Raw genomic sequence first — 11,578 nt, 5'->3', positions numbered from 1 at the left:
CTGGCCACCAGCTCCGTGACCCAGGCTGGAATGCAATGGCTCACTGCAGCCTCAACCTCCTGAGCTCAAGCAATCCTCCCACCTCAGCCTCCCAAGAAGCTAGAACCACATGTACACACCACCACGGTCGGCTGATGTTTTAATTTTGCAGAGATGGGGGGGTCTCACTATGTTGCCCAGGCTGGTCTCGAACTCCCGTAATCCAGCCATGTAGGAAACCTGAGATGCAGTGGGCCAAGGGGTATGTTAAAACACTGTGACGAGTTCAGTGCTAAGAACTGTAATGCTCAGGAAATCTTACAGCACGTGCCATCCTAAGCCTGTGTGTGTGTCCTCGTGTCTCTCTACTTTTTCTTCTTCTTGCTGGTGATGGTCTTGCTGGATGGGGACACGGTCACATCCTCCTTGGGAGGGTCCAGTATGAGGTGAGAGGATGACACGTCTGCCGGCTCCTTGAGCACTGTGATGTCCACCTCATAGTCATGTCTCTTGGCCTCTTCCTCTCTCAAGATAAAGATGTTCAGCCTAAAAGCAAACATGAGAAGGTGGTAGCTTTTTTTATCCCCCTCCAAACTGCAAAACCAGTTTTAGGCTATTTATAGTATACAGCCCTTCATACCTGCATTTCAACAGCATGTGTAAACAAAACTGTAAGTTGCTACACTCTGCCTGAAATAACTGATGCCATGTCGACACAGTCCAAAATAAACTTCTCATCTATCTATGAAAAGAAAATTTTTTCTCGAGACAGACAGAGTTTCGCTCTTGTTGCCCAGGCTGGAGTGCAATGGTGCAATCTCGGCTCACTGTAACTTCCGCCTCCCGAGTTCAAGCGATTCTCCTGCCTCAGCCTCCTGAATAGCTGGGATTATAGGCTTCCGCTACCACGCCCGGCTAATATTTTGTATTTTTAGTAGAGATGGGTTTCACCAGGTTGGCCAGGCTGGTCTCAAACTCCTGACCTCAGGTGATCCACCCACCTTGGCCTCCCAAAGTTACGTGTGTGTGTGTGTGTGTGTGTATTTTTTTTTTTTTGAGATAGGGTCTTACTGTGTTGCCCAGGCTGGAGTGCAGTGGCACAAACAAATCACTGCAGCCTCAACCTCCCAGGCTCAAGCAATCCTCCTGCCTCAGTCTCCAAAGTAGCTGGGACTACAGGCGCCTGCCACCACATCTGGCTAAATTTTTGTATTTTTTGTAGAGATGAGGTCTTGCTGTATTAACCTAGGCTGGTCTCAAACTCAAGTGATTCTCCTGCCTTGGCCCCCCAAAATGCTGGGGTTACCGGCATGTGCCATGATGCCCAGCCCATTTGGGGACTTTATGGAGGGTCCAATATGTAGACCTGATTAAGTCACTGGCTATTAGTTATTGAACTCAATCTCCAGCCCCTCTCCCTTCCTGGGAGGTTGGGCTGGAGCTGAAAGTCCCAACCTTCTAATCTCGTGGTTGGTTTCCTGGCAACCAGCTCCAGCGAGAAGCTATCGAGGGCCCCTCCCCTGGCTACCAGTCATCTCAACATAGTCATTACCCCAAAGAGTCCACAGGTTTTGAACTCTTGGGTCAAGAAATAGAAAATAGCTGCATGCAGTGACTCACCCCTGTGACCCCAGCACTTTGGGAGGCCAAGGCTGGCAGATCACTTGAGGTCAGGAGTTCGAGACCAGCCTGGACAACCTGGTGAAACCTCGTCTCTACTAAAAATACAAAAATTAGCCAGGCGTGGTGGTGCATGCTTGTAATCCCAGCTACTCGGGAGGCTGAGGCAAGAGAATCGCTTGAACCCGGGAGGCGGAGGTTGCAGTGAGCTGAGATCATACCACTCCACTCTAGCCTGGGTGACAGTGAGACCCTGTCTAAAAAAAAAAAATAAAACTAGAAACTAAGACCAAATATTAGAACAAAAGATGCTCCCATTATCCCATTACTCAGGAAGTTACAAAGGCTTCAGGTGTTCTGCCAGGAACAGAGACCAAATATTCATTCCTTTTTATGTCAACGACGCCCATAGGAAATTACGGCTTGTCCGGAAAGCACTTGGTCCTGATGCGTTCTGGCAGCTACGGAAGACAGGAAGAGAGCGAGCAGCTGGGGAAGGAGAGGAGGGACCTCGTAAGTTACCTTGCTTCCAGTTCGTCATCTTCCATCTTCCGCTGCTGGGCCTGTGCTGTGCTACGTAACCTGTCTGCCCTTATTTTCTCCTTGATAGCTTCTTCACGTTTATACGCATGAAAGAGCGTGTTCACAAAGAAGACGTACGTATTATTGACCCACGTGTTGAACTCTTCCTCTCGATCATCCTTGGGTCTCTCATATTTCTCTGGAATAGAGTTTCATGAAGCTGAACATGAATACAATCCTGCTGTCAATTGGGGGTCTGCGTGCTTTTTCTCGTTCTAGCCTCCCTGGGGTGGGCCCCCTTCTCCTCGGCCAGGAGAAGTGAGAGGAGTAAGGACGCTGCTTCCATGACCACCTGGAACAAGGCAGGGGCTCAGCAGACCCTGGCTGGGATTGTCAGCCTTCCCTTTGAGTTTCCTGCTACCTCGTTTTTTCTTTTTTGTTTTTTTTTTTTTGGAGACAGAGTCTCACTCTGTCACCCAGGCTGGAGTGCAGTGGCGTGATCTCTGCTCACTGCAACCTCCACCTCCTGGGTTCAAGTGATTCTCATGCCTCAGCCTCCCGAGTAGCTACAGGCGTGCGCCATCACACTCGGCTAATTTTTGTATTTTTAGTAGAGATGAGGTTTCACCATGTTGGCCAGGCTGGTCTCGAACTCTTAACCTCACGTGATCCACCCACCTCGGCCTCCCAAAGTGCTGGGATTACAGGCATGAGCCACTGTGCCCAGCCACCTCTTTTTTTTCTATCTTAAGAATTTGGGTTTTCTGATATTTTAATTTTCCATGTTTCAAGAATAAAAAAACTCGTTTCTCTTGCTTTTTTCTTTTTTTTTTTAAAGACAAGCTCTCACTCTATGGCCCAGGCTGGAGTGCAGTGGCATGACCATGGCTCACTGAAGCCTGGAGGAACTCCTGGGCTCAAGTGATCCTCCCATCTCAGCCTCCCTAATAGCTGAGAATACAGGCATGCACCACCACACGAGGCTAATTGTTTTAAGTATTACTGTGAGACAAGGTCATGCTCTGTCATCCAGGCTGGAGTGCAGTGGTACCATCATGGCTCACTGCAGCCTCCAACTCCTGGGCTCAAATGATCCTCCCACCTCAGCCTCCCAAGTAGCTGGGACCACAGGCGGGTGCCACCACACCCAGCTAATTATTATAGAGACAAGGTTTCGCTATGTTGCCCATGGTCTCAAACTCCTGAGCTCTAGTAATCCTCCCATCTCGGCCTCCCAAAGTGCTGGGATTACAGGCATGAGCCTCTGCACCCGGCCTAGGTCTTGGGGACAAAATATTCGAAAGCTTTTATTTATTCAGAGTTTGAAACCCCTTTAGAGACAAGGATAGCTGTGTATCCCAAGTGAATCCTCTCTCCTAGAGAACTAGACAACGGGTTACTCTCACAAAAGTAATTTCCTAGTAGTTATAGTTATCCCTCTCTATCTTTCTTGTCTAGGCTAAAGAATCTCTAAATCTTAAACTACCGTAATTTTTTCCATCTTTTTAAGCAATTCTGGTTATCTATTCACTTGGAAGATTTTAAAATTCAGAGAATCAAATTATACGCAATCCAGGACTCTAAGGTCAGAACAAGACTGAATGTGAAGGAAGATTCCTTTTTGTTGGTTGGAGACAGGGTCTTGCTCTGGCACCCAGGCTGGAGTGCAGTGGTGCAATCACAGCTCACTGCAGCCTCGAGCTCCTGGGCTTAAGCAGTCATCCTGCCTCAGCCTCCCAAGTTGCTGGGACTACAGGAGTGTGCCACCATACCCGGTGAATTTTGATATTTTTTTTGTAGAGACGGGCTCGCTATGTTGCCGAGGCTGGTCTCAGACTCCTGGGCACAAGTGATCCTCCTGCCTTGGCCTCCCACAGTTCTGGGGTTACGGCTGTGAGCCACTGCACCTGGCTGCAAGATTGTCTTATGTTCATTCATGAACTCTCAACTAGACACCCACAAGCTGGAGGACAGTAAGTCACGGCTGCCACATGCAGTAATCAGACGAAATGGTACTGGAAGAGATGCCACGTGGGTCAAGGGGATCCTTGACAAGACACAGGGCAGGAGCCACAGGACTGGTGACTGGCACACGGGACTTAAAGGAACAACCAGAGAAATCCAGGACAAAATCCAGTTGGAGCTGGGACTAGAGATCACTTCCCTGCTAATCAGATCAGCAGGAAAACACATTAGCTGGGGTTCCATTTTCAGTTCTATTTCTGTTACAGGAACTGTGCGTCTTGATTACGGCACCGCAGGAATGCCCTGTCTCTGCTGGGATGCTGAGCTCTGCGGGAGAAAATGACACAACCCACAGATTTGCACCAGAGGGAGAAGAAACCTAGGATGACGAGGGGTCACAGAGGCCGAATCTCTGTGAAGAGTATTTCAAGAAGCTGACGCTTTTCCTGACTATGGAGAGATCGGTTCAAGTGACAGCAGGATTCCTGGCGGTGGCAACACGGAGTCACTGCTGATGAAAAGGGGCCTTCAGTGGCCTGGGGAGGACAGTGCCACGTGGAGCAAAAGCTAAGGGACACACAGGAGAGGTCCTGGAGAAGGTGAGCACGTACACAGCCCACCAAGATGCCTAGCAGCAAAGGTGTACATGTACACAGCCCCCCAAGATACCTAGCAGCAAAGGTGAGCATGTACACAGCCCCCCAAGATGCCTAGCAGCAAAGGTGAGTATGTACACAGCCCCCCAAGATGCCTAGCAGCAAAGGTGAGCATGTACACAGCCCCCCAAGATGCCTAGCAGCAAAGGTGAGCATGTACACAGCCCCCCAAGATGCCTAGCAGCAAAGGTGAGCATGTACACAGCCCCCCAAGATGCCTAGCAGCAAAGGAGCAGGGAAAGAAAGTGGGATCTAGAGGGGAAAGTGGGAGAAGAGATTTTCCTTTTTTCCTTTTTTTTTTTTTGATATGGAGTCTCACTGTCACCCAGGCTGGAATGCAATGGCATGGTCTCAGCTCACTGCAACCTCTGCCTCCTGGGTTCAAGCAGTTCTCTCACCTCAGCCTCCCAAGTAGCTGGGACTACAGGCGTGTGCCACCACACCTGGCTAATTTTTGTATTTTTAGTAGAGATGGGGTTTCACTATATTGGTCGCGCTGGTCTCGAACTCCTGACCTTGTGATCTGCCTGCCTCGGCCTCCCAAAGTTCTGGGATTACAAGTGTGAGCCACCATGCCCGGCCAAGAGAAGAGATTTTCCTAACTGGGCATATGCAGCACATGTGTGCCGATGGGAATGATCCACTGGAGGAGGAGTAACGGGAAACGACAGGCACTGTAGAGGGGGATACACAGGGGAGGCCTTTGAGAAGACAAGGCCCCGGGACGGAGCCTTTAAAAGTCCACCATTGAGTGGGTGGCCGGCCATAGAGAGACGCCGTCAGAAAAGGGGGAGGGCCAGGCGCAGTGGCTCACACCTGTAATCCCAGTGCTTTGGGACGCCAAGGCGGGAAGATCACTTGGGCCCGGGAGTTCAAGACCAGCCTGGGCAACATAGCAAGACCCCATCTCTTTAACAAACAAACAAAAAAAGACCAGGCGCGGTTGGGCTCATACCTGTAACCTCAGCACTTTGGGAGTCAAGGCGTTCAGATCCAGGAGTTCTTGGATCCAGGAGTTCAAGACCAGCCTGGGCAACAGAGCAAGAACCCACCTCTTTAAAAAAAAAAAAAAAAAAAAAAAATGCCCAGGGGCGGGTGGGCTCACACCTGTAATCTCAGAACTTTAGGAAGCCGAGGCAGGCAGATCACCTGAGGTCAGGAGTTTGAGACCACCCTGGCCAACATCATGAAACCCCATCTACTAAAAATACAAGGTGCAGTGATGGGTGCCTGTAATCCCAGCTACTAGGGAGGCTGAGGCAGGAGAATCACTTGAACCCAGGAGGCAGAGGTTGCAGTGAGCTATGATGGCACCACTGCACTCTAGCCTGGGCAAGAAAGTAAAACCCTGTCTCAAAAAAAGAAAAAGAAAAGAAAAGAAAAGGGGAAACACCAGGGCTTGTTTAATCATGAAAACAAGGCCACGTGCAACTGGCAAGGCCGGCAGAGTAACAGCGGAAAATTCCCATGACATTGATCATCACTGGATGACCCTGAGGAAAGCAGAGGCATGAGGTTGGAAGTTCACACGGACACGGCTGAGGAATCAGACCAGAGGGAGGAAGCGCAGTCAGCAGACAGAGAGGCCTCAAGAGCGATCTTCCCAGGATAAAGGAAAACATAATAAAACAGGAGGATGAGGAAGTGAATAAGGGTTGTGTGTTGTTTTTAATTTGAGCACCTTTAAAAATCCGAGAGAATGAGACCCTTGAGAGAGAAAAGTTGCCTGTAAGAAAACAATGTAGTCAACGGCATCAGACTCTGAGATGGGCGTGCAGGGCCCAGGGGAGGCCCAGCTGTCCCATACTGGCATCTGCCCTAACAGACTGAGTCAGCACAGCAAGGTCACGCCTTGAACTTGAACTCCAAACCAGGGAGGAGAAACAGAAGCAGCTGTACCAGCCTCATTATTTAAAAAGATGGTTGTGCTGGGTGTGGTGATGCCTACTTGTAATCCCAGTTACTCGGGAGGCCGAGGTGGGAGGATCGCTTGAGCCCAGGAGTTCAAGACCAGCCTGGACAACATAGCGAGACTCTGCCTCTAAGAAACTAAAAATTAAAAAAAGATGGTTGTAAAACAGTATAGACATTATATAATTCATAAGCAACAGTTTGTAAATATTAAGGTTCTACAATTAAAATACTCACTGCTCTCAGATGAGAAAAAGGTGATCCCTTTTCCAGTCAATTTAAAATTCATTTTGGAGACTCTTTCATGACTTACAGACTTCTTGATCTTGGGCTTTTGCATTTTAAAAAAATCATAAAGCAAAATATTACGTTTACATCATTATGGGGTTAAAACTGCTTTTTTATACTTTAATTAATTAGAAAATTATTAATGAGGCTGTTCTCCTTGAGCTAATTTGACTTTAATTTGACTTTTTTTTTTTTTTTTTTTTGAGACAGAGTCTTGCTCTGTTGCCCAGGCTGGAGTGCAGTGGCGCGATCTCGGCTCACTGCAGCCTCCGCCTCTCGGGTTCCAGCAATTCTCCTGCCTCAGCTTCCCTGGGTAGCTGCACTACAGGCATGCGCCACTACACCAGGCTAATTTTTGTATTTTTAGTAGAGATGGGGTTTCACCATATTGGCCAGGCTGGTCTCGAACTCCTGACCTCAGGTGACCTGCCTGCCTTGGCCTCCCAAAGTGCTGGGATTACAGGTGTGAGCCACCACACCCAGCCAATTTGACTATTTTAACCTGAATAAAATATTTATATTATTAATGAAATGAATAACAGAATTATGGCATTTACTGAAAGCCTCTCAAAAAAAACCCCCAAAACTTGAAAATGTCACCTGGGTCTGTTGGTACAGTATTTATTGTATAAAATTAATGATACCGGCTAGGCGTGGTGGCTCATGCCTGTAATCCCAGCACTTTGGGAGGCCAAGACAGGTGGATCACAAGGTCAGGAGATCGAGACCATCCTGGCTAACATGGGTGAAACCCCATCTCTACTAACAACACAAAAAATTAGCCGGGCGTGGGGGTGGGTGCCTGTAGTCCTAGCTACTCAGGAGGCTGAGGCAGGAGAATGGCGTGAACCCGGGAGGCAGAGCTTGCAATGAGCGGAGATCCAAGATCGCACCACTGCACTCCAGCCTGGGCGACAGAGCGAGACTCTGTCTCAAAAAAAAAAAAATTTAACCATACTTAGATTCATATACTAATGGCTTTAATTATTATTACATTTTTTGGGACGGAATCTCACTCTGTTGCCCAGGCTGGAGTGCAGTGGTGTGATCTTGGATCCCGGCTCACTGCCACCTCTGCCTCCCAGGTTCAAGCAATTCTCCTGCCTCAGCCTCCTGAATAGCTGGGATTACAAGCACCTGCCACCAGGCCTGGCTAATTTTTATATATTTTAGCAGAGATGGGGTTTCACCATGTTGGCCAGGCTGGTCTCGAACTCCTGACCTCAAGTGACCCACCCACCTCGGTCTCCCAAGGTGCTGGGATGACAGGCGTGAGCCACCTCGCCCGACCTAACGGCTTTAATCACCACATGTATGCCCTAACCCCCATATTTCTACCTCCAGCCGGAGTTTGCCCTTGAACTCCAGTCTTGCCTCCAGCCATGCTACTTGGGCATCAGTTCAGGCACCTTAAGCTTAACTTGTCCAAAATCAACCACTTAATTTTGCTCCCAAAACTCAGCCCCCTGCCTCCGTCTTCCACATCATCATAAATGGCAACTCCATTCTGCCAATGCTCAGCCAAAAAATCTTGGACTCATCTTTGCCTTCTCTTTGCCTTTCAACCCCTGCACCCTTCAAAACACCTCAGACCTCAGCCCACCTTAGTCCCAGTCACCATCACCTCCCAGCGGGATGGTTCCAAGAGCTTCCTCACTGGTTTGTCAACAGTGAAGCCACAGAGCCTCCTGACACCTCTGCTCAGATGGTGTCCCATCCCATCCCACTCACCCAGAATAAACGCCAGGACCCCCCGCCCCGGCCACATGCCCTTCCTGTCACTTAGACCTCGTAAGTGGGAAGAAGCATAGCTTGCGGTAACCGGTGCTAATTCTGGAGTTAAAGTGCCTGGGCACAAACCCCCAGCTCCATGCCTTACTGGTTATGCAGCTGTGGCCAAGCTATTTAACCTTTCTGGGCCTGGGTTCCCTCCTAGAGAGAATCACAGTACCTGAAGGTCATGGGGATGCTGAGCTGGTCCCTGGGGACAGCTCGGCGCCTGGTAAACACCCATAAACGCTATTACTGCTGTTCACTTGCTGCCGTGTCCCCTCCTCACTGGAAAGTAAAGCCCATGAGGGCGTGGGTTTCTGTTCACTGCTAGGTCCCCAGAGCATGGAAAAGAGCTCTTCGCAGAGCAGGCACTCGGTAGCGGGTGTCTCTACACGGTTAGTTGCCAAGACAAACCTCTGATTTCCTTATTTTGTTAACATCAGGCGAGAGTTCTAACTTGCTGGAAGATGACCTGGCACTGTCAGAGTGAGCAGCATCCGATTCGTGGCTCATGACCGCGCTGGGACTCTTGTTCTGGGCGTCCTAAGCAAGAACAAACACACGCGTCAGAGGGCTTCTGGTTTCCATAGAGATCCATACAGGCATACATACATGCACACACGCAATATTTTAATGGGCTGTAACTGATTTACAATGAACTACACATAAACTGTACCCTTTGATGTGTTTTCACACATCTATACCTGTGAAACCATCGCCTCAGTCAAGAGAGTGAACCGAATCAGGCACAGTGGCTCCCGCTTGTAATCTCAGCACTTTGGGAGGCCAAGGTGGGCGGATCACCTGAGCCCAGGGGTTTGAGACCAGCCTGGGCAAGAGAGCAAGACCCTGTCTCTAAAAAAAATAAATAACAGGGCAGGCGCTTCGCTCATGCCTGTAATCCCAGAAGTTTCAGAGAATGAGGCGGGCGGATCACTTGAGGCCGGGAGTGCAAGACCAGGCTGGCCAACACGGTGAAACCCTGTCTTTACTAAAAATACAAAAATTGGCCAGGTGTGGCGGTGTGCACCTGTAATCCCAGCTGCTTGGGAGGCCAAGGCAGAAGAATCACCCTGAACCTGGGAGGCAGAGGCTGCAGTGAGCCAAGATTGTGCCACTGCACTCGAGCCTGGGCAACAGAGCAAGACTTTGTCAAAAAAAAACAAACAAGAAACACACACACACACACAGAGTGAACTTTTAAGTACCCAGCCTGATGCCCCTCATGGATGCGAAGGCTTCTCTACGCTGGCGACTGGAAATGCAAACTACTCCCAGCCCCGCGTGAGTCCTTGAGGTCCCTCCCCTGCTTGCTGGCGGCTCTTCCCTTAGGTTCCAGCTGTTCCCTCACATGCATGCACACTCAGCTGACGGCTCAAGGGGAGCCTTCTGCACATGTCTGGAGCTTGCTGTCCCTCTTCATAGCACACTTACCTCTGTGGAACAGAATTCTACCTTTGCCTCCCCAAATTACTAGAGCGTGTGAAACCACTGTGAGCTGAGCAAGAAGGATCAGCTTTGATAAGTTTGAAGCTGAGCCTCTCTCTGATCTCTAAATCACACTCCCAAATTGTTGGTCAAAAGGGAGCACGACATGAACGTTCAGTTTCCAGTGTCTTTTTAGTAGAGACGGGGTTTCACCACGGTGGGCCAGGCTGGTCTCGAATTCCTGACCTCAAGTGATCCGCCCACCTTGGCCTCCCAAAGTGCTGGGATTACAGGCGTGAGCCACCGCGCCTGGCCTGGGTGTCCATGCTTGTGAGCAAGCCCTGCGGACCTGGTTAGCATCCCACGCACACTCAGGAACTATTCGACACATCTGCTCTTGAGCAGGCTTTCCACTCTTAGAAACACTGGATCCATATAACGAAACATCTCCTAGTAAAACACCTCTGATTTTCTAAAGTGTGGTCTAGCGGCCCACCCAGCATGTCGGTATGCACTGTCACCTTCATCGGCAACTCTCTGCTGTGGCTAGGAGTCCACTTCCTGGATCATGGCCAGGAAACACATTTCCCCTAACTTAAAAAAATCTATATACACTTCCAAAATGTGAAAAAGACATCTTGGCCGGGCATGGTGGCTCACACCTGTAATCCCAGCACTTTGGGAGGCCGAGGCAGGAGGATCACTTGAGCTCAGGAGTTTGAGACCAGCCTGGACAACATGGCAAAACCCCATCCCTACAAAAAAATACAAAAAGGCCAGGCACAGTGGCTCAGGCCTAATCCCAGCACTTTGGGAGGCCAAGGCAGGCGGATCAACTGAGGTCAGGAGTTCGAGACCAGCCTGGTCAACATGGCGAAACCCCGTCTCTACTAAAAATATAAAAAATTAGCCAGGTATGGTGGCACACGCCTGTAATCCCAGCTACTCAGGAGGCTGAGGCATGAATCACTTGAATCCAGGAGGCGGAGATTGCAGTGAGCCGAGATCGTGCCACCGCACTCCAGCCTGGGCAACAGAATGAAGCTCTGTCTCAAAAAAAAAAAAAAAAAAAGAATTAGCTGGGTGTGGTGACACATGCCTGTAGTCCTAGCTACTCAGGAGGCTAAGATGGGAGGAACGTGTGAGCTCAGGAGGTCAAGGCTACAGTGAGGCATGATTCCACCACTGCACTCAAGCCTGGACAATAGAGTGAATCCCTGTCTCAAAACACATAAAATAAAATTTTAAAAGGAAAACGGAAAGACTTCTTAAATTACTTTCTGGAAGGGTTAGTAAAGCCAAGATAGTTTTGATGATGGTTTAACCATTCCAGAATAAAGCCATTCCTTGCTTTGTAATTCTTTTTGTTTGTTTGGTTTTTTTGTTTTGTTTTGAGAAGTCTTGCTCTGACGCCCAGGATGGAGTGCAGTGGCACA

The 11,578-nt window shown here is 49.3% G+C and overlaps 1 protein-coding gene across 13 annotated transcripts in view; it reads right to left on the bottom strand.

Moving 5' to 3' along the window:
• Window positions 1-122: 122 nt before the first annotated feature.
• RSPH10B2 (radial spoke head 10 homolog B2) overlaps window positions 123-11,578 on the bottom strand; it is a 46,666-nt gene continuing 35,210 nt past the window's right edge. For 12 of the 13 annotated variants that reach the window (XM_024446904.2, XM_024446905.2, XM_047420783.1 and 9 more), the window contains 4 exons: window positions 9,129-9,257; window positions 6,891-6,984; window positions 2,122-2,320; window positions 123-525 (listed from right to left, as the gene is read on the bottom strand). In XM_024446904.2, coding sequence (XP_024302672.1) covers window positions 345-525; window positions 2,122-2,320; window positions 6,891-6,984; window positions 9,129-9,257 — 603 coding nt within the window. In that variant the 3' untranslated portion in view covers window positions 123-344. Of the gene's footprint in view, window positions 526-2,121; window positions 2,342-6,890; window positions 6,985-9,128; window positions 9,258-11,578 lie in introns of those variants that run through there. The other variant, XM_024446906.2, reaches the window with a different exon arrangement.

Source organism: Homo sapiens, chromosome 7 (genome assembly GCF_000001405.40).
Source record: "Homo sapiens chromosome 7, GRCh38.p14 Primary Assembly".
In the NCBI taxonomy this organism is placed as follows: Eukaryota; Metazoa; Chordata; class Mammalia; order Primates; family Hominidae; genus Homo; species Homo sapiens.
This window is presented reverse-complemented; position numbering and strand designations above follow the sequence as displayed.